Source organism: Homo sapiens, chromosome 17, assembly GCF_000001405.40.
Source record: "Homo sapiens chromosome 17, GRCh38.p14 Primary Assembly".
Taxonomy (NCBI): domain Eukaryota; kingdom Metazoa; phylum Chordata; class Mammalia; order Primates; family Hominidae; genus Homo; species Homo sapiens.
The window spans coordinates 32,265,492-32,287,138 of NC_000017.11; the positions used below are offsets into that span (position 1 = coordinate 32,265,492).

A 21,647-nucleotide genomic window follows, 5' to 3' on the forward strand; every position below is an offset into this window, starting at 1 on the left:
TTAACCCTGACGTCGCCAACATAGTGTCTCCATCACATATCTGCCACCTCCAAGTGATGGTTAAGCCGATGGAAGAGCCAAGCCCGGGCCCGGAGTGCAGGCCGGTGGTGACCGGGCCGGGGACGGCGCAGTCCCCATCCCCGCCCCGGGCAGCGCCACCACTTCCTCGCCAGCCCCGCCGCAGCCCTCCCGCTCCCGGGCCGCGCCGCTCTGACCGACTGGGCCCGGGTGGCGGCGCCCGGGGTGGGGTGCGGGGCGGGGGCCGGCGTTCCCCGCGAGCAGCCCCGCCCCCGCCCGCGCGCCGCCCCCGAGGACTCCGCGGGGAGGAGGAGACTCGGGCGCAGAGCGGGGGCCGCGAGAAGCGGGAAGGGAGCGCGGGGAGCGGCGGGGCCGGGGCCGGCCCAAGGGCGCCCTCGCCTCGGAGCCGGGCGCGAGGGCCGGGGCGGAGGCGGAGGCCGGCGGGGCAGCTAGCGCAGTGAAGTTTGGCGGCGGAGGGGCCGGGCGTCCCGGGGTCGCGAGGAGGCGGCGGCGGCGCGGGGACCGGGGCCATGGGGGCGGGCGCGGGCTGCGGAGCGGGCGCGGAGGCGGCGCGGCGCGCACTGAGCCCCTGGAGCGGCGCGGCCGCCGCGGCGCAAAGTTAGCCCGGCGCCCCGGGACGAGCCCCGCAGCCGCCGCCGCCCCCGGACCCCGTCTCGGCCATGGGCGAGCACCCCAGCCCGGGCCCCGCGGTGGCCGCCTGCGCCGAGGCGGAGCGCATCGAGGAGCTGGAACCCGAGGCCGAGGAGCGGCTGCCCGCGGCGCCGGAGGACGTGAGTGCCCCCTCCCCGCCCGGCAAACTTTCTAGGGGGCGCCGGGGGGAAAAGCCGCCCCTGTCTCGCCCCACGCCGGGCAACTTGGAGGTTTCAGGGTGACGCGGGAGCGCCCCGGATTGGCCGGGTCCCCGCGGGCAGGAGGGGGCGGAGGGACCGGTCTCCCCGAAACGCGCGCGCACCGCTTCCCCCGCTCTGGTTCCCGCGGCTTCCCTGCGGGACACAGCACCGCCACTGCGCCGCGGACCTGTCACCGCCGGAGCCCCCTCCCCGCCGCTGGTGCAGTGCCCGGGACACGGCGTTTTCCCGCAGAGGCGGCCGCGTCACGGCGGTGACTCCCCCTCCCCTCACGCCCGCGACCTGCGAGCTCCCGGAGCTGGGGAAGGAGCGGACGCCGCAGAGTCCCCGTCCCTGGCCATGCAAGCCGGCCTGGCGACCCCTTCCTCCGCTCCCGGATTAGCTCCCGCCCGGCACCTGCCTTGCCGCGACACTGATTGAAATTCAAGCCGGCCCCCGCCTCTGACCCCGGCCGGAGCAGGGAGGCAAAGAGTGCTGGGAGCGGCTTTGCTCCTAGAAGGAGGCCCGGGAGTCCAAGACCGTGGCGGTGCCAGGGGACGGTCCCCTGGGCGAGGAGAGGGAGGGGCTGCCCCGAGGGCTTCCCCGCCGTCTGCTGCTCGGGTCTCCATCCCTCCGGTCCTGCGGGCCGGCCCTGCGAAGCCCTGGGAACTGGAGTTTCTTGGGTTAACCTCCCGGGGCTAACCTACACATAGGGGTGAAAAACCGGGCAGACACCCTGCCCTGCCCACTCCTCCCTCAGGGTGGGGAGATGGAAGTGAAACCAGGCCCCCAACCCACACAACGAAAGCGGGAAAGTCTGAATGGGGTTGGGGGGTAGTTTACGATCTTCTCTCTTTGGCGTCTGCGGTTAAATCTATCACTTCCTTCTGGCCCTAAACCCCTGGCAGAATCTGATGTAGTCACCACTTAGACTCAGCCTTGGAAGAGAATGGGTGGGCTTCACCGCATTCGGCATTCACCACCCCCCCTTCCCCGCAAAAAAACAAAAAACGAACAAACAAACAAAAAACTGCAGGCAAAATGTTAGTGTTTATGCAGAGGTGAGTTCTCCTGGGGGGGGAGGGGGGGGCTCTAGCTCCCAGCAGGTGAGACTCATTGCGCCGGGGTCTGATGGAATTGCACCTGGCCATGCTCTCCCAGGCCTGGGAGTAGCTGTGGACATAAGCTTTAGGCAGCAGAAATTATTAGAGGCGCTTGGACATATTTGGACGCCTTTATTTAGTAATTGTTGAGAATCACTTGTTCTGCCAGTTCCAGAACCAGCAACACCCACCTTGCCGCCCCCGCCCCCACCCCATCCCTTACTGTGAGTTTCCTCCCTCTGCTCAGTGTGGACTCATTGGGGAGCTCCTCCCAGACTTCCCCTGCTCTCCTGTGGCCAGTCCCTGAGCCTGGTCATGACTCCTGGGCAGCCGCTGGGAGGCTATGTCAGAAACATCCGAGGACTACAGAGACCTTGGTGATAAGTGTGTCTTTCTTTCTCTCCTCTTCTTCCTCTCCTGCATGGCCTCCCTCTCTGCCAGCACTGGAAAGTCCTGTTTGATCAGGTATGTGAGCAGTTAACCCCCCATTTCCTTCCAGCCCTCCCTGAAATCGGTCTCAGTCTCCCTGCTTGCGTGGGCTTCCCTAGCTCCGCGCTCCTGAGATGGTGACGTGGGGTGGGGGTGTGGCTTTGTGCATCTCTAGGGCTGAACGACACTGCTCTCCAGGTATCAGGAGGAAGAGATGGGCTCCCCTGAGAGGATCTCCCTCCTGCCTCCTCCCTACTCTGCTGCACCAGAGCCGGGTTTACACCATGTAGAAATTGGACGTTATATATTGAATGCCTGGGAAATCCTCCATATGCCAGGGGATTGCAGTAGGGGGCTGGAGAGGTGGGGGAAGGGCTTGGGCTGACAATCCCTCTCCGTTTCTACCTCCACTATGGAGGGTCCATGGCCACCGCTGAAGTCAAATCTCTGCCATCCTTGGGGGCTGACTCACAGTATGGACTCTTTTGAAGTCTAATTCAATGTCTTTAATTCTGTCATAGGGATGAGGGAGTGCTGGGAGGTTACAGAGGGGAAATTGTGTGTGATTCTTCGCAATGCCTGGAGTCCAGGTGTAGGGCATGGAGTTGGGGGTGCCAAGTATTGGCTTTTGAACCTGGAGATGGACATTTGACCTTCAGCAAGGAAATGGTTCTCCTCTTAGCATTCGTGGTGGGTGCTGTTATGTGCTTCCTTCTCCCTCTTTGCCCCATGTTGGAGGATAGTTGAGTGCTATAGTCCTGGGGTGAGAATGATTGTGCCATGAAGTTTGTGCAACTTTAAGAAATTGGTGTGAGTGGGCCAGAGGGAATGTGTTGGGTAGGAGAAGGAGATAAAGCTGAAAAATTAGCTTGAACCAGGACTTCGTTGTAGGCAGGGGAAGCCTTAGAAAGTTTTTTAGCAGGGTTGTTATGTGATCCAAGCCAGGCTTGGGAAAGCTCCAGTGTCTTAGGGGATAAGGAGTGAATGGGCTACGGGGATGAGGGAAGCTAGGCAGGAGCTGCAGCACTGAACAGAGGCAAGAAGGTGACAGTGAGGATGGACGGGAAGAGGGACATGGTGATGGAAGAATTGGAAGATCTTAATAGACCGTAGGTGAGGGGAACCACATATCTAACTTTGAGATTCTGAACCTAGGAGGGAAAGAAGTTGGAGTGGGGCCAGGTGTGGTGACTCACGCTTGTAATCCCAACACTTTGGGAGGCTAAGGCGGGAGGATCACTTGAACCCAGTAGTTCAAGACCAGCCTCGCCAACAAAGTGAGACCTCATCTCTACAAAAAATTAAAAAATCAGCCAGGCATGGTAGCACACTCCTGTGGTTCCAGCTACATGAGAGACTGAGGCAGGAGGATTGCCTGAGCCCAGGAAGTTGAGGCTGCAGTGAGCCACGATCGTGCTACTGCACTCCAACCTGAGTGACAGAGTGGGACCCTGTCTCAAAACAAAAACAAAAAACAAGTTGGAGTGAGGAGAGACGTTTGGCAAAAATGACAACTTTGGTTTGAGACAAGTTCAGTTAGAGGAGCCAGCCGGTTGCAGATGCCGGAGTGGGCGTGATGACACGGAATTGCAGCGCGAAAGGCCTGGGGTGAGGATTTGGGGTGATCATCCACATTAACCACGAGGTCTGGCTGTGGTTTGAAGTTCAAAGCATGCACTGGCTCCTGTCCTGACGGGTAGAGCATCTCTCCCTCTGGCTCCTAAGAGTACAGCAGCTGCTGGCCTGATGCCCCAAGGCAGGAGGGAGCCCGCTGCGCCACTGCCACCACTACCACCAAGCTGCCAGCCCTTCACACCTCCTGCCAGATTTAGAATCAGAACCTAGAACAAAGTGTATCATTCTTTTTTTTTCTCTGTCTGTGTCTATCTTTTTCATTTGATTAATTTCCTTTGCCAGTCCCTGTGTGTATGTGTACATTTTAAAACAAACCATTTGGGTGAAAGGAAGAGAGCTTTTAGTAGGAAGATTTTGGAACTCAAGGGAGCAGAAAGAATGTGTAGCACCTAATAGTAGCTAGTGGTCTATTAAATCGAATTTTTCCAACTGAAGGTAGGTCCTGGGTCCTGGGTGTCACAAAGAGCATACCCCTGCTTCTGGGAGGCCTGCCCAGAATTAATTCTAGGAAAGAAATTAGGCCAGGCACAGTGGCTAACGCCGGTAATCCCAGCATTTTGGGAGGCTGAGACAGGAGGATGGCCTCCCAAAAAGTGAGACCCTTTCTCAAAAAAAAAAAAAAAAAAAAAAAAAGAAGCAAGCAACCCTGATAGATCAAACTGCAGTCATGGATGGGACATGACACCTCTCAGAGTCCCTGTAAGCACAAGTGACTCTGGAGTTCGCCTTCCAGAGATCAATGGCATGGGTGGCTAGAACCAGTCAAGTATCTCCTCCCTCCCTTCTTGGGTCAAGCAGACACCAGTGGTAGCCCAATTTCAAACTGGGATCTGCTAGGGTCTGTTTTCCAGGTGTTAGGGATGGATTAGACCAGTCCCTCCATAATGTCTGGTTCTTCAGCATGTGGAGTAGCCTTGATCTAGCATGACGCCAACTGGACCCCAAGGGCTAGAAGCCATGGTGTTGGTCTTGTTGGTCCTATATGGTCACCGTCGAACTAAATGGCCAGGATACCTTTTGTGGGGACTGGAGGTGATGAAAGCAGGTGACCCCAGTCCCATGGAAGCTTCTGCATCCCCCTCCCTGGCATTGTGGCATCTGGCCCACTCAAGCAGGAGTGTTAGCAGGGCCAATCCATGCCACGCACCCTCACTCCCCCGATTCTTCCCCATGGGTCCCAGAAGTTGCAGCAGGTGGGAGACCTGAGGGTCATCAGTTCAACTCGGTATGTTCCATGTGTTCATGTCCTGTTCAAACTTCTTCTTGAGGGAATCGTCTTTTCATATTTTGGAGATCTTGATGGTTTTCCTAAATATTTAAGTAGATTTAAAATTTACCATAAATATTAGTCTGTTGTTATAGTATAATATCGTAGTAAAGATGTTTTATTTTTCTGACTGGGTGCTCACACCTGTAATCCCAACACTTTGGGAAGCCAAGGTGGGCAGATCGCTTGAGCCCAGGAGTTAAAGACCAGCCTGGGCAACATAGCGAGACCCCACCTCCGTTTTTTAAAAGTTTAAAAAAAAATTTGTTAAAGAAAAAAGTCTTATTTTCTGTGGAATCTGTTGAGCTTTTCCTTCCTGATTCCTTCTGTTGATTCAGACCTGAGATAGTTTTCGTACCTCCCCAGATCTCATAAATATGCCCTTTTATTTCCTACTACTTTTTCTATGATTAAAAACATCATATAACCCTGCACTCCATCTGCATCTGATTCCTATCCAGCTATGCTAGCATCACTTATTAAGTAAGCCTTCTTTATTATATTGTTTGAGAAATGTTATTTGGTAAATTTTTGTGTGTGGTTGGGTTGATATTTTATTTCTGATTTATGCCACTGATATTTATAATTTTGCACAGGTAATGTCCCCTTTAGTTATCGCTTTACATCTGTTCCATAGGTTTCTGAAAAGCTTCCCTTTTTCGGGTTATGCTTTGATAGTCTTATTCTCAGTCCCTTCCTGAATCCCAGGAAGCTTTGATTCAAGGTCAAATATTTAGTCAAAGGCCAAATAGCGGGGCAGTGACAGATATGGGACCAGAGCCCAGTTAACCCACAAAGGGCTTCTTGGGTTGGAAAAGTCATTTCCAGGTTTACCCTTAAAAATGCCTCCAAGATCTGTGAATGTTTAATGAACAAAAGAGTTTGGAGCAGAGTTCCGTTAAGTCAACAAAGCACAATTGCTTTCAAGCTCAAAAGAACAAGAGGGAAAATGCAGTATTGAAAGTAACTTGACTATCTTCCTTTTTCCCTTCTCACTGGGAGCCTGTATTTCCTAGACCCCCAAAAGAGATCCCCAATTTTGCTAATCTCCCAGAAGGAAAGCAGACAAGTACTGACTGTCTCACCAAAATTATAAACATAAACATGTGCTACGATGAACAGAAGGCGTGGATCCGCCGCTTCGGTGGGTTGCTGGGGTCAGAAACTTGGATTTGGAGTCAGATAGACCTGGGTTCAAGTCTTACTCACTTTGTGATCGGAGGTAATTACATTAGCTCTCTGAGCCTCAGTTTCTTCCTCTGTACAATGGGGACGTAATATTTAACTTCAGGGTGACTATGAGAATTAAATGGAAGTGGAAGCTCCCTTTGCAATATCTGATTTGCAGTGGATATTCAACAGAAGTATCTTCATTGAGAATCAGAATTTGCTTGGAGAAGCACAAGGACCACTTCTGAGATCCAGGCCCCTACGGGGAAGGCAGCTCCTCAACACTTCTGAGCCCAGAGGATTTTTTTGCTTTCTGACTTCCAGTGTCTCCCCTTCCCAGTTCCCTGCCCTCCAGCCTGGGGCTCTTCCCTTGGCCTGACTTCATTTGTAGTCCCCCCTGCAAGCTGGCTTAAAGGTGTTCTGGGAGCTGAAAAGAGGTTCAGATAAGACCCCTGAAGGGATTAGCAAGGAGCTGCAGAGAAAACTCCTGCCCCAGAGACAGGGTGTTGGCCACCCCCAGAACTCACAATTAACCAGCAGAGCAGGGTTCCCAGAGAGGAACAAAGCCACGGGCTTAACTGGAGCCCTTGGGCTCTGCACCCCCAACTCCTTATCAAGTGGTCTCTAGGACCCTTGAGGCTGTGGACTCCTCTTCACCACAGAGCCTGCTTCCCTACCTTACTCCTGCCCCAGTGACCCCATCAGCTATACTGACATTAACCCTTTTATTCCTGACCACTCACAGAAATGCATTTGATTGCTTTGGGCAACAGGGCCGAGGGATCCGAGGTTGAACTTCGCCTGGCTGCCTGCCTGACACATAATAGATACACACGTTTGAGCGAACGACAGGTCGAACTACAGCTCTGCATGCATTGTCTTGGGTTAAAATATCCTCTCCAAGAGCAGGCCCTGACTGTGCAGCTACCACACTCACGGCAGCCCCTCTGCCACCGTATGGCTGCTGCCACCTCAAGGAATATAGGTTATTAGAAGGTTAATGGAGGCATCTTGTCCAGTCTGCTCATTTTGTTTTTGTTTTTGTTTGTTTGTTTTGAGACATAGTTTCGCTCTTGTTGCCCAGGTTAGAGTGCAGTAGCGCGATCTCAGCTTACCGCAACCTCCACCTCCCGGGTTCAGGCGATTCTCCTACCTCAACCTCCCGAGTAGCTGGGATTACAGGTGCCTGTCACCAGGCCTGGCTATTTTTTGGTATTTTTAGTAGAGATGGGGTTTCACCACTTTGGCCAGGCTGGTCTCGAACTCCTGACCTCAGGTGATTCACCCGCCTTGGCCTCCCAAAGTACTGGGATTACAGGCGCGAGCCACCGCGCCCAGCCCAGTCCGCTCATTTTGCAAATGAGGAAACAGAAGTCAGTGGCCTACTGAGGTCACTTGGTGCAATACAGCCAGAGCGGAGACTAGATCCCAACCCTGCTTTCTATCTGAACTGTGTTCCTGCCACCAGGCCATTCACTTAGTTGGTGCCTTGAGTAACCAAGGCAGGTGGAGAGGACACATATCTAGGTCAAGTCTCAGTTCTGCTCCTACTAGGTGTGTGGCAATGGGCAAGCCAGGTGACCTCTTCACGCCTCAGTTTTCTCATCCGTAAAGTGCCAGCCTAGTACCTTCCCCCCTACGTTGTTGTGAAGACGGGATGCTGTGTGTATAGTGCTTGGCACAGTATGTAGTGAGCACCTCATAAATACTGTTGTGTGTTACAGCAATTTAAACAAGTAAAAAATAAAAAGACATATAATAGAGTAGGTTTTTTTGTTTTTTTGTTTGTTTTGAGACAGAGTCTCACCCCGTTGTCCAGGCTGGAATGCAGTGGTACAATCTCAGCTCACTGCAACCTCTGTCTTCCAGGTTCAAGTCATTCTCCTGCTTCAGGCTCCGAAGTAGCTGGGATTACAGGCGTGTGCAATCACACCTGGCTAATTTTTGTATTTTTAGTAGAGACAGGGTTTCACCATGTTGGCCGGGGTGGTCTTGAACTCCTGGCCTCAAGCGATCTGCCTGCCTCAGCCTCCCAAAGTGCTGGGATTGCAGGCGTGAGCCACCGTGCCTGGCCAGACCTCGGTCTTGAATCGAAGTGTTCAGAGCCCCAGTTGGGGTTCCTTCCACCATATCAGGCTGCCTGCTTTAGGGGAGAAGCTGAAAAATCACATTTCCCCTGAACTTTCCAGAGAGAAAGGAGAGAAGGTTTTGGACAAAGGCTGCCTGGGGAGTGTTGTGCATGGCAGAGGGTGAAGGGTGAGACGAGGCGTCTGGCCATCAGGTAGACAGGGCTAGCACTCCTCTGTCTGGTGTTCTGATCTGGCAATTCCTGCTGGAGCTTTACTTAGTGGTCTATCGTGACACTGGGGCCATTGTCTTGTGCTAGAGAAACCAGTCCGTGTGTGGCTTAAGCTGTGAACAACTAGAGGTAGCCCCCATCACCATTCCCCAGGCTTTTGTGAAGCAAGGTACAGGTTGAAATCAGTATATTTGAGTCAGTAAATATTCTTCGAGGGAGCAAACATTGAATGTCTAACTGCATGCTTATAAATTTGTTGTCTCATTTTGATCTCTCAGCAGCCCTGTGAGGTGTGTGGTGCTGCACCTCAAAAGAGGAAACTGGCTAGGTGCAGTAGCTCACACCTGTAATCCCACCACTTTGGGAGGTTGAGAGGGGAGGATGGTTTGCTTGAGGCCAGGAGTTCAAGACCAGCCTGGTCAACATAACAAAACCCCTTCTCTATTTAAAATAAAAAGGGAAAGTGAGGTTTGAGGGGGCGGAGCTTGCCCAAAGACAGCAGTGAGGACCTTTTGCGGCAGTCGCATGTGTATATATGTGTGCACGTGTGTTTGTGCATGAGTGTGCATGTGTGTGTATGCATGCATGTGTGTTTGTGTGTGCAAGAGTGTGCATGTGTGTGTGTGTGCACGCATGCATGTGTGTGTGTCCCCACAAGGCTTCTGGGTAGCTCCTGAAATGGGCCAGGAGATGCAGGAGCAGCTGAGCACCCTTTATCCTTCCAGCCCTTTATCCTGCCTGCCATGCACCCGCTCTGCATCTTGCTCCCCTCCTTCTCCCTGGATCTGTTGGCTCTCTCTCCTCTGGGGGACCAGAGAGACCCTTTGGTGGCTGCCAGGAGAAGCAGCGGCGGCCAGCAGTTTAGGCTGAAGGGGAGAGATGGGGCGATGTCAGATCCCTCCCTGCTGACATTCACTCCCCACTCCCTGCCTGCAGTTCCCTTGAGACTCCTGGGCTTCATGGCCATGACTCGGCTTCAGTCCCCAGGCGGCGCGTCAGGCTGGGCCGGATGAGTCAGCATGGATGTTACATCTGCTCCTCCTGGGTACCCAAGGGCCTCTGAGTCACAGCCCCTGGCAGCCCCCTCAGTGGCCTGCCAAAGGCAGGGGCCATTCTGGAATGGGAAGGGAGCCGTCTGTGTGCCTGGGAGGCCTTGTGAGGAGGTCGGAAGGAGGAGAAGGGGCTGCAGGAGTCCCCCAGGGGCGGGAAGGAATAGGCCCAGTGGAGGAGGCAGTCCCCCAACCCGTGCTGCCCACCCCACCCATCCCCAGCTGCATGCGTTCCAGGGAAGGTGTGAGGTCGTTTCTTTCCCTCACTTCCCAGATGTTGGGAGAGCTGGATGGTTTTCTGGAAGCATGCCGATTGTCAAGGGCTCAGCCTGAGTTCAGGCCAGGATGCCTGTCTCTCCCTAATCAGCCTGGCTGCCCCATCCTAGGATTCGGCTGTTCGACTTTGGGCAAGGGGGATGCTCAGGAGGCTGCTTGGGGCTTTTGGGAGAAGCACCATGAGAGGGCTGAGCTGCCTCCCGCACCCCTCTATGGTGGCAGCTGAGGGAGCAGAAATAATAAAACTGGGAATCCCAGAATCGTGGAGGCTTCTCCAGCTGTCAGGGGCCTGGCCTGGCCAGATCCCAGGGGAGTAGGGGTCACAAGGGCCCCTCATGCCTCCATCTGGTCTCTCTCCTTCCCACAGAGGCTTGAGGTCTCTGAAAACCCACTCCCAGCCCCAGCTTGAAGCAGGCCAGACTGCCTGGGTCCACCCCTTCCAGAGTGCCTCAGGCAGGGGGCATGTCTCTGAGTACCTCAATTTTTGTATCTGTTAAGTGGGACGAACCAGACTTACTCTAGGGTTGGCATGAGAATAAAAAAACAAAACAAATGTGAAAGTCAGTATTTTAAAGAGTCAGGGGAAAAGGTCAGGGGAAGGGTATGAGGTGGTTTTCTCTATGGGACAAACCAGACTTACTCTAGGGTTGGCATGAGAACAAAAAAACAAAAAAAATTGTGAAAGTCAGTATTTTAAAGAGTCAGGGGAAAAGATCAAGGGAAGGGTGTGAGGTGGTTTTCTCTATGGGTGAATTAGCATCCTCATTTGCAAGAAAGCAGAACTGGGAGAGAAAGCTCCTACTCCCCTAACCTCCCCGCTGACCTTGGCAGCTGCAGCCTGGACCTAATTTACGGGGCTGTAAATATCCATGAAAGGGCCAGAGTTCCCTTTTGGGCTCTGGCTGTTGGGTGGGGAGAGCTCTGCTGAACCACAAACCCCTGGGCAGCCTCGTTAATTCTGCTCTGCTCAGAAGACGAGTAATGAGGCAGGGGGCCAGCAGTTGAGCCATGGTAACCTTCACCAGACAGCTGCCTGCACCATACTTCAGCCCTAGCACCGTACTCCAGCCCTAGCACCGGACTCCAGCGCTAGCACCGTACTCCAGCCCTAGCACAGTACTCCGGCCCTAGCACCTTACTCCGGCCCTAGCACCTTACTCCAGCCCTAGCACAGTACTCCGGCCCTAGCACCTTACTCCGGCCCTAGCACCTTACTCCGGCCCTAGCACAGTACTCCGGCCCTAGCACCTTACTCCGGCCCTAGCACCTTACTCCGGCCCTAGCACAGTACTGCGGCCCTAGCACCTTACTCCGGCCCTAGCACCTTACTCCAGCCCTAGCACCTTACTCCGGCCCTAGCACCTTACTCCAGCCCTAGCACAGTACTGCAGCCCTAGCACTGGACTCCAGCCCTAGCACACGTGCCTGTGCTCATTTCCCAGGGCTCATTCTGCCTTGGTGTGTGTACATGGGAGAAGACAATGGGGATCCGGGTGGGAACCTGCTCTAGATCCCAGGTCTCCACCTTCCTGACTCAAGAGGTCTTTACCCCAGTGGCAGCTGGTTCCTTGGCTCTGGGTACTGCCTTTGAGGTCCTTGAAAGTACTCACATCCCTCACTGAGGTCCAGGGCCTGTCTAGAGCATGGACAGGGAGAGGGTCCTCCTGGGAGAGAGAATTCAAGCCTTGGAGGCAGAGACCAGACGTGTGTTTGCCCTGAAAATGCAGCTGGTGAAAATCACACATACATCATAGACACAAGAAGACAGAGGTATGTCCTTCTCTCTCTCATGCTTCCCTGTTGCTGGGCAAATTCTGAAGCCTTGGCCTGGCTCATGGGCCTGCAGCTGGGAGGGGAGAAGCAGTGCTGCTGTCCTGGGTGCTGAGCAGGCAAATCCCAGCTCCAGCGGGGTTTGCTCCCTGAGAGCTCGGCTCAGTGGCCCCATTAGGCCAGTCACGGACTCCTCAGCCTCTTCTGAGGCCTGGTGTCCCCAGTCAACCCTCAGGCTGGGCCTGGAGCCCACAGACTTCTAGCATTGCTGGAAGACTCCAGCAAAGTGTCAGCTGCTCGGAGACCTATGCTACTCATGGGGCGGAAGTGAAAGGCTCTGGTTCTGAACCAGCGGCAAAGGGGCTAGGTTCACCAAAGGGAAACGTGACTGCTGTGGACTCATACCTTGTTCCCAAAGAGTGTTCCATCAAGTGTTACTGTGAAAAAATACTACGACCAAAGGTCAAATAAGTTTGAAGAATGCTGGGCTGAACAAAATCAGACAGGTTTCTCCAGCCTAAAACCTTGCAGAGTCCTTGATATGGTGCGTTATGACCCTCCAAGAGGTTTTTCCACTTGTAGGACCACAGAACCCTTATTTCAGGTACCATCAGGTACCTGGTATTCCACAGAACACACATTGGGAAACCCTTAAAAATCAGCTGGGTGTGGTGGCTCACACCTGTAATCCCAGCACTTTGGGAGGCTGAGGCAGGCAGATCACTTGAGGTCAGGAGTTTGAGACTAGCCTGGCCAACATGGTGAAACCTCGTCTCTACTAAAAATACCAAAAATTAGCCGGGTGTGGTGGTGGGTGCTGTAGTCCCAGCTACTCGGGAGGCTGAGGCAGGAAAATTGCTTGAACCTGGGAGGTGGAGCTTGCAGTGAGCCAAGATCGCACCACTGCATTCCAGCCTGGCGATAGAGTGAGACTCCATCTCAAAAAAATAAAAATAAACTCAGGGGCTATGTTTCATTCAACCGAACAAGACAGAGAAAAACAAGGGAGGGCAAGATGGGACCAGCCAGCACAGTGGAGGAATCCTGAACTATTTCTGTCTTGACCGCGAACTCACTCTCTGACCTGGACTAGTTTATTTTGTTCCTTTTGCCCTATGCACCTGTTTCCCCATAAAACGAGTGGGATGCCTGGGCCACAGTTGATCCTTAGTGAATATGTGTTAGGTGGACACATAAGAGGATTGGATGAGGGTCTCTCAAACTCTCTTTAGCCACAGCACTCTAGTGATGGGAGAGAGTGCAGGCTCTCGCCCCTCTGCCTGGATATGAATCCATCTGCACCTATTACCAGCCATTCACACTTGGGCAACCCAGCTCTTGGTGCCTTGGTTTCCTCTCCTGTAAAATGGAGCTCACAATAGTGTGTACCTCTTAGGGTTGCTGTGAGATTTAAATAGGGGGGACCACTCTCAAAGTGACCAAGTTAGGACACTTTGAGAGTAAAGGAGCTACTGTAAATCACACTCAAGGCTGGGCAGGGTGGCTCACGCCTATAATCCCAGCACTTTACGAGGCCAAAGTGGGAGGATTGCTTGAGGCCAGGAGTTCAAGACCAGCCTGGGCAACATAGCAAGACCCTGTCTCTACAAAAAAATTTAAAAATTAGCCAGGTATGGTAGCACATACCTGTGGTCCCAGCTACTCAGGAAGCAAACACAGGAAGATTGCTTGATCCCAAGAATTCAAGGTTATGAATTCTACAATCACATCACTACACCCCAGCCTGGGCAACAGAGCAAGATCCTGTTGTTTCTTAAACAAGAACAATAATAATTAATATGCTTGGACAACAGGTATATGCCAGGACTAACACAGAAAAACCAGGGTGTGTGGTGGCCTGAGGTTTCAGTCAAGGGGTGCCTGATACATAGCAAACTTTCCACACATATCAGCCCTTATCGTGTTGCTGTTCACCAGGATAGTATGCAGAAGGCCAGCACATAAACTAGCTCCGAATGGAGCTGCCCTGCCTGAGGAGGGCTGGGGGCTGCTCCTCAGTGCCCTCCCCAGCACCTCTGGGCCTTGGAGGCCCCATAGCCCCTAGAACTCTGCAGCGTAGTTTGAAAACCACTGAGTTTCCCTCCTGCTCCGTGATTTCTGATTCCCTGACCTGCTGTCCCTCTCCCCAGTGTTGCCAGGCCCCTCTGACAGCACAGACCCAAATGACCCCGGCCCTTCCTCACTCCATGTGGAATTGCCTGCTGTGATCCCGAATGTCCTGTAGCCCCTTGACTGTGCAAAGATTCCAAATAGAAGATTGGCTGCCCTTGTGGGCTGCATGGGTTGTGGATTTCTCATTTTCTACCCCCCGTTTCCGTATGGCACGCTTATGTGCACGGGGTGGGTGGCCCTTATAGCTCCCTGAGAAGAGTTTCTGCTTGATTGATGGAGAAACAGAGGCAGGGTGGTTGAATGAACTACCCAAGATGGCACAACAGCTGCGAGTGGAGCCTCTTTCTGGAACTCTCTTCCTCCCCTTGCCCCAGACTGGGGAAGGAGCCCCAGATGGCAGCAATACAAAGAGAGAATCTGGTAGGTCAGTTCCCCTACCTAGATGGGCTGAGCGCCCCAGGAATGGGTGCAGCATAGAGGATAGGAGAAGGCAGACCGTGTGGGAGGCCTCAGGCTGAGGCCAGCTGTGACCTAGAGGATTAGGGTCGGACGCTGGGTGCTGGTGCGATTAAAGGCCGAGGCAGGTGGGCGGGCCAGCTCCTCTGTGTCTTCCGCTCAGGCTGAATGTGGACTTGGCCGCCCCTCCCTCCAAGGCACTGAGCCCTATTCAGGAGGCAGCTTCCAGGACGCTCCCAGGCTCCTGGCTCCCTGCTGGGCCCCTACGGCCCATTCACAGCCCACATTCTAACGGCTGCCCCGACCAGCCCCAGAGCAGCCCCGGTCAGGCCGCCTCAATCCCACCCAGCCCAGACCCCATCAGGAGCACCTCACTACCAAAGTGGGTGAATCTGGGGCACAGTGCCTGGGGGAGGGGAGCTTCAGGACCAGTGGCACGGTATTAACAAGGAAATTGCATTGATGGGGCTTGTTTTCCCGAAAGCTCCAAACCACAGTTTGGATCTGCCTAATGATCCCAGTCCTCCTTAAGCAGGCTGTGAAGGAGGAGGAAGGGTAGGATATGTGCCCAGAGAGGGTCAGCCACACCCCCATCACAGTAGGATGCTCCCAGCTTCGCAGCAAGGGAAGCTGGTCTGGCCTCCGAGCCCAGGCCCTGGTGAGCTGCTGCCCTGCGAGAGGAAGGTAGCCCACTTTGTAGATGAGGTAGTTGTGGCTCGGGAGTTTGCTGTAAATGACACAAACCCTGGTTAGTGGTGGAGACAAGCATGAGGTTTGCCTTGTTCCTTGCTACCCCTGAGTGAGGGGTGCAGCCTCTGTTAGAAACTCCCAGCTTCCTTCTGGGGCAATGGGATGCACCTCTCTCCTGCTTTCTGTGCACTCATGCTCTCTCTGGCTCTCTCTGTCTCTTTCTCCCTTTGCCTCCCTTTCTCTCTCCCCCACGCCCCATACCCAATGTCAGCACCTGCCCTTGCTTTCATCTTCCTGGGGGTGGGGTTGGGGGTTGAAAGGTGTCCTGTGCATTCATGGAGCCCAGGCAGCCGGCCCATTGCTGCCTCTCCCTCCCCCTGCCCCAGCCGTCCTCCATCCTCCGGGCATCCCCAAGGCCTCATTATTAGGGTAGCGGTGACCCCGCCCCCCATTGTCTGGCCCTGCCATGAAAGGTAGAGTTTTGGCAGAGAACCGAGGCTCGGCCTGATTCCAGCTTGTTCTCTGCTGTCTGGAGCCTGTTACTATGCTTGGGGCAGGGCAGGCAGGCCCTGGTGGGGGTGGAGGCTTGAGCCACAGGGCAGCCATGTCACTAGGACAACAGCAGGGAGCACTGGAGGGGGAGATTGAGGGGGAGAGCAGGTGGCTCTTTGTCTGCAGCCTGATCCCAGCACCCCCACTGCACCCCCACCCCACGGCCCTCCCCAGCCTGGGAGGCAGCCCCTAGGAGGGGATTGGTGCTTGCTCCCAGGGCACGCAAAGTCATTGGGCTCCCTTCTCTAGGCCGAGGCAGGAGAGACTGCACAAGCTGTGCCGCAGACCAATGGCCCTCCTGCAGCCCCCACTGGGGGGCTCCCCAGGACTCCACCTGCTCCTTCTCAGCCCGCACCCCACCCCCTATCTACCCACCCAGAACAGGAGGGCCAGGCTAGTGAGACCCTGTGATGGAGTAGGGGTTGGCACAGGTGGCTTGTAGAGATGGGAGGGGTCCCAGGCACCAAAGAAACAGACCCTCCCTGGCTGTGGTTGCCACATTCCCTCTCCAGGGTCCATTTCCTTAGCTGAGCAATGGAGGAGGTCAGAGCTGTTGCTGTCCGGGGCTGTTTCCTGATTTAAAAATCTCTGCCTATGGTAGGGCTGTGAGACTCATGGAGCCCCTTCCTCTCCTGGGCCCACACTCACCTATTTGGTCCTTAAATTTTGTTCCTGGGCATCAGAGCAGTCCCTGGAGCTGGAGGTCAGTGGCACCTGGCCATGGCTTAGAGGAGTGCTCAGCTGTCTGGAGGTGGAATCCTGGCTCTGCCGCTTGCCGGGCAAATCACTTCACCTCCCCGTGCTAACTCTTCTGTGCCTCTATTTCCTCGTCTGTAATATGGGGACATGGATAGGATCTGCTACATAAAGTTGTGTAGGAGTCAAAGACATTATATGCATAAGGTGCTTAAACAGTATTTGGCTCCATGAAAACACTCAGCAAATATTAGGTGTTTTTATTCTTCAAGATCTTTACTGAGCAACAAGTAGGTGAGTTTCCTGAAATACTTGGTGTTGTGAACCAAACAGATGTCATCCATGAAACCTGGCATTTTGGCTTGAAGGTGGGAGATATACAGATTTAAAAATATGCCTCGGGGCCAGGCATGGTAGCTCATGCCTGTAATCCCAGTACTTTGGGAAGCTGAGGCAGGAGGATCACTTAAGCCCAGGAGTTCGAGACCAGCCTGGGCAACGTAGTGAGAGCCCATCACTACAAAAAATTTAAAAATTCGCTGGTTGTGGTGGCACACAACTGTGGTCCCAGCTACTTGAGAGGCTGAGGTGAGAGGATTGCCGAGCCCAGGAGGTCGAGGCTTCAGTGAGCTATGATGGCACCACTTCACCCCAGCCTGGGTGACAAGAGTGAGATCCTGTCTAAAACAAAAAACAATAGACCTCATTGGAGATGTCCTTTCTTGTTCAATTCTGTGGAGATTTTTTTTTTCTTTTTTGAGACGGAGTCTCACTCTGTAGCCCAGGCTGGAGTGCAGTGGCACGATGTCGGCTCACTGCAAGCTCCGCCTCCCAGGTTCAGGCCATTCTCCTGCCTCAGCCTCCCAAGTAGCTGGGACTACAGGCGCCTGCAACCACGCCCGGCTAATTTTTTGTATTTTTATTACAGACGGGGTTTCACCGTGTTAGCCAGGATGATCTTGATCTCCTGACCTCGTGATCCACCTGCCTCGGCCTCCCAAAGTGTTGGGATTACAGGCATGAGCCACCGCGCCCGGCCTTCTGTGGAGAATTGAAATAGCCCATGACTGAGACTCCTGACTGTTGCTCTTTGATTTTCTCAGAAATGCTACACACAGAATCCACTTTCCTAAAATAGCCTTCATTGACCATCTAGAAAAGGCGAAAACGTGGGTTTGGTATTCCGGACTCCCTCGTCATGCACACACATACATCCTCAATGTCTGTTTGCCTTTTAAACAACTCACAGCTGCATCTCCAGGATGCAGTGGAGTCTTATGTAGGGAAGCACCTTCTGAACAAGAAAGCTCCTGGCGTCCAGGAGATGCTTGGTGTTAAAAGTGTTGCTGTGGGCATTGGGTGGGCTCCGTGAGGAAAGGGATAGAAATGATAAGGTCTTCTCTGGGAGAGGTGACTAAGATCCTGCCTTTTCTTCTTTTTTTTTTTTTTTTTTTTTTGAGATGGAGTCTCGCTGTGTTGCCCAGGCTGGAGTGCAGTGGCGTGATCTCAGCTCACTGCAAGCTCCGCCTCCCAGGTTCACGCCATACTCTCCTGCCTCAGCCTCCCGAGTAGCTGGGACTACAGGCGCACACCACCACGCCCGGCTACTTTTTTGTATTTTTAGTAGAGACGGGGTTTCACCGTGTTAGCCAGGATGGTCTCCATCTCCTGACCTTGTGATCCGCCCGCCTTGGCCTCCCAAAGTGCTGGGATTACAGGCTTGAGCCACTGCGCCTGGCCCGATCCTGCCTTTTCTAACTGAACTGATGAGGCTTTTCATGGAAAATCAGTGCCTGTCTGTTCATCTGAACACCCACTAGTTATTCATCCAACAAATCTTGATTGAGTGCTGATAATGCCAGGCTCTGTGCTAAGTACCGGGGATAAGTTGTGATACCGACCCGCGAGGCGCCGCGGTCCAAGGAGGAGGCAAAAGCAGACAGACATCAGTGTGGGCTGGAGGCCCAGAGGTCTGGACAGAACAGAGGGTTCCGTGAGAACAGGCCATGGCTGAGGTGAGCCTGCCAAGAGAAGGGCATATCTGAGTAGTCAGGAAGGGTGAGTCGGAGTCTTCCAGGGAGACGGAGGAAGAAAGGGAATCCCAGGCAGAGGGACCCACGTGGTGCAAAGCTGCAAACGATGAAAGAGCACGGTGTAAAACACACAGACGCGCACTCCTACTCATGCGCGCGCACAAACACCCCCCAAACAAAACAAAAACCACAGAGCAGAGTGTCTCTGGGGAGCCCCACCAATCCTCCCCGCCTGGGTGTGTGGGAGGGGCCATGGGAGGGCGGCCAGGGGCAGAAGGACTTGCAAGGCAGTGCTTCTTGCTCCCCAGGGCCCTCTGGCATCCCCCCTGGGGTCCCTCTGGCCCAGTCCCCTTTCCCTTTGCCAGTCGCAGCTGAAATGTCCTTCTCCTGCTGTCCTCTCACCCGTCCCAGGCCCCAGAAGTTTCTCATCTTCCTGCACTCATTGCCTTTTCATTCGCACTTCCCTCTCCATGGTGAGAGGAGGCGGTTTAACCTCTCTGAGCCTCAGTTTCCTTATCCACGTGAGATGGTTGGATTGGGTGATCCTGAAGGTCTGCAGGTCCTCCAGGACATTCCTATTTAGATGTTTCCCAGGGGGGTCCTTGGAAATCTCCCAGACACTGAGCCTCTGCCAGGGGCTGGGGACTAAAGCCAGTGAATAGTGGTGGAGATCAGGGCACCCACATCAGTGTGAAGAGGAGGTGGTGCCCTGCTGACCCTGCTGCTGTCTGCTTTTCCCTCAGTTTGACCCTGGGAACACAGGCTACATTAGCACAGGCAAGTTCCGGAGTCTTCTGGAGAGCCACAGCTCCAAGCTGGACCCGCACAAAAGGGAGGTCCTCCTGGCTCTTGCCGACAGCCACGCGGATGGGCAGATCGGCTACCAGGATTTTGTCAGCCTAGTGAGTGCTCTGGGGCCCTTGGTACTCGGGGGGACCTGTTTGAGGGTTATGGCTTCCACACATTTAAAGGATTTAGGCAATTCAAAGGATCTGTTGGCCTGCAGCATTGAAAAAGTCCAGGCTTCTGAGGTGAAAGGGTGCCACCAAGGACTCATCTTCTCTTTGTCTCTAGGCTCTGCCCTCCGCAGTGTCAGCCCATCCTCAAGGCAGCACCTGGCAATTTCAGACCCTCCTGTTGTGGCAGCAAAGTGGCTGCAGCTGTTCCAGCCCTCATACCCTCAGGCTGCACCTTGCAGAAGGGAGGGAGGGAGGGAGAGAGAGAGGGAGGGAGGGATGGAGGGAAGGGGAGAGAGAAGAGGAGGGGAGGGGAGAGAGAGGAGAGAGAAACCCTTCTTGGTGTAGCTCTTGCACAAGGCCTGGTATTTTCTCCCTCCCATTGGCCTAGATTGGGTCAGTAGGATGGGTAGATTGCGTTAAATCAATCATTGCCCCACTCCTGTAGCTGAGAGTGGGGTCAGTTACGCCAAAATGAAGGGCTGCGAGTAGGTAGGGTATTGGTGGTAGGAGAAGGGGCTGGGGAGTGGGGGCCGGGAGGGTCAGTGCAGCATGTGGTAGAGCCAGAGCTCAGCATATCTGCTCAGCCGATGCCCTGGGCTGCCAAAGAGGCTGGAGAAGATAGGCCCATGGATCCTGCCCAGCGGTCTGTTATCTCGGAGCAGAGACTTCCCCTCACTGAGGGTTAGTGCTGCGCTATTTCAGGGGCTGCTGTGGACTGGGGTTCAGTGGGGTTAAGCAGGCAGTATTTCACCCACCATGGGATGCAGGTGACATCAGTAGAAAAGCGGGGTGAACAAGCAGGTTGAAAATAAGACCCAAAGTTTTTGCTGGGTTTTCCTATTGGTGAGATGGAGCTGGTCACCTCTCTTCATGTCACCCATGGAGGGAGCGAGAGTGAAATGACTTGTGTGAAGCGCCCCAGACTCCTAAATTCAAAGGCACCAGTGATGGGGGAGCCGCCACCACTGGAGCCTGTCATTGTGCCACATGAGCGCTCTGATGTGGATGCCCAGGCAGGGGAGATGTTTCAACAGCCTCTTGGCTGAGGTCCAGCCTTGGTCCAAGGGTTGGCGTGATTGCAAGGAGCTGCTGTGGGGTTTTTAGGAGTGGAGGAATCGACTGCTGTTCAGAGTGGACCCGGGGAGCAGACCTCCTGGAGAGCAAGGGACAGAGCTGAGCTGAGCAGGGGAGGGGGACAGTGAGGATTCATAGGATAGGCAGTGAGGGTGAGTCCTGTGACTTGGAACCCAGCAGTGCCACCAAAGACCAGGCCAAAGGTTTGAGCCTGCCCAGGCTCATCCACAGCCACAGCCCCAGCACCTGTGTGTTTGCTGCAAGATGCCCTGCTAGGTCTTAGGGCACGTGGGGCCCAGGAGTGGCTTCTCTCCAGCCAGGGGTCAATGGAGCCTCTGTGTGAGCTCAGGACAGCAAGTTACTTGTTACTGCTGGGATTTCTGAGATTTCTCTGTTCAAATTCTGCACTGGATCTGTATGAGCAGGGCTGCCCTGGAGAGCAGACAAAGGGACTCACCAGAGGGGAAGCTCTGAGTAGAGCAGAGAGCTGAGGACCTGGAGTCTAGCAAACCCGGGTCCTGGTCTGGCTCTGCCTCTGCCACTCACTGGGAAAGAGCCTCTGAGCCTGCCTTTTCCCATTTGTAGAATAGATCCAAAGGATCCTCTCTTTAGGGTTGTTGCAAGGATCAAAAAAAGTATTTGAATATTTTTGATGTCTCTTAATGTTCTTCCACCAGGTAAACTCCTCTGCATCCTTTGTGAGCCTTTATCTGCTCAAGCCAGGCAGAGTGAGTCAGCCTTTTTCAGAGCTCCCACAGTGCCTTGCCCAGGCCTCTCTCGTAGTACAGACCGCCACACTGCATTACAGCTGAGCAACCCGGGTAGTCGTGTATGAGTGTGCAGGTTGTATACTGTACAATGGTGCCTAGCTGAGAGATGATGGAGACTGAAATCTGGCCCGGACTTTGCCCACCAAGGCCTGGCATGGGTGCACCCATCCAGAAGAAGAGGCTCCTTTATCTGATTGGCACAACAGCTCTGTATGGGCTAGCATGGACTGTGGAGTCAGGCAGATCTGTATTTGAATCCTGACTCTGTGGTTTACTAAGTATGAGTACCCGGGGAAACTACTCACCCTCTCCAAGCTTCAGTCCCCATATTTGTAATGTCGGAATAATACGGGGTGCCAAATAACTATGATGGCACCCTTTTTTACTGTTTTTACACTTCTGTCTCCACTTGTAAGCTCC

At 54.1% G+C, this 21,647-nt stretch overlaps 1 protein-coding gene across 14 annotated transcripts in view, besides 5 other annotated features; it reads left to right on the plus strand.

Moving 5' to 3' along the window:
- Positions 1–340: 340 nt before the first annotated feature.
- The window catches only part of RHBDL3 (rhomboid like 3), a 58,830-nt gene continuing 37,523 nt past the window's right edge, over positions 341–21,647 (plus strand). For 2 of the 14 annotated variants that reach the window (XR_001752439.2, NM_138328.3), the window contains exons 1-3: positions 341–809; positions 2,411–2,434; positions 19,168–19,326. Coding sequence is in view for 10 of the 14 variants with exons in the window: in NM_138328.3 (NP_612201.1) it covers positions 699–809; positions 2,411–2,434; positions 19,168–19,326 (294 nt within the window). In the remaining 4 variants the exon portion in view is untranslated. Of the gene's footprint in view, positions 810–2,410; positions 2,435–17,888; positions 18,407–19,167; positions 19,327–21,647 lie in introns of those variants that run through there. The other 12 variants (XM_047435507.1, XM_017024275.2, XM_017024273.2 and 9 more) reach the window with 10 other exon arrangements.
- Positions 9,616–9,839: a silencer, noted in NCBI's record as "fragment chr17:30602126-30602349 (GRCh37/hg19 assembly coordinates)". NCBI's record gives its function as "represses an EF-1alpha promoter that drives an FKBP-Casp9 reporter gene in an ReSE screen in K562 erythroleukemia cells {active_cell/tissue: K562}" and the evidence as "EXISTENCE:reporter gene assay evidence [ECO:0000049][PMID:32094911]".
- Positions 10,823–10,872: an enhancer, noted in NCBI's record as "active region_12027". NCBI's record gives its function as "activates an Ori minimal core promoter by ATAC-STARR-seq in GM12878 lymphoblastoid cells {active_cell/tissue: GM12878}" and the evidence as "EXISTENCE:reporter gene assay evidence [ECO:0000049][PMID:35858748]".
- Positions 13,782–14,554: an enhancer, noted in NCBI's record as "H3K4me1 hESC enhancer chr17:30606292-30607064 (GRCh37/hg19 assembly coordinates)". NCBI's record gives its function as "activates a minimal SCP1, AML or CMV promoter by ChIP-STARR-seq in naive H9 embryonic stem cells {active_cell/tissue: H9 hESC(naive)}" and the evidence as "EXISTENCE:reporter gene assay evidence [ECO:0000049][PMID:30033119]".
- Positions 14,555–15,325: an enhancer, noted in NCBI's record as "H3K27ac-H3K4me1 hESC enhancer chr17:30607065-30607835 (GRCh37/hg19 assembly coordinates)". NCBI's record gives its function as "activates a minimal SCP1, AML or CMV promoter by ChIP-STARR-seq in naive H9 embryonic stem cells {active_cell/tissue: H9 hESC(naive)}" and the evidence as "EXISTENCE:reporter gene assay evidence [ECO:0000049][PMID:30033119]".
- Positions 15,326–16,097: an enhancer, noted in NCBI's record as "H3K27ac-H3K4me1 hESC enhancer chr17:30607836-30608607 (GRCh37/hg19 assembly coordinates)". NCBI's record gives its function as "activates a minimal SCP1, AML or CMV promoter by ChIP-STARR-seq in naive H9 embryonic stem cells {active_cell/tissue: H9 hESC(naive)}" and the evidence as "EXISTENCE:reporter gene assay evidence [ECO:0000049][PMID:30033119]".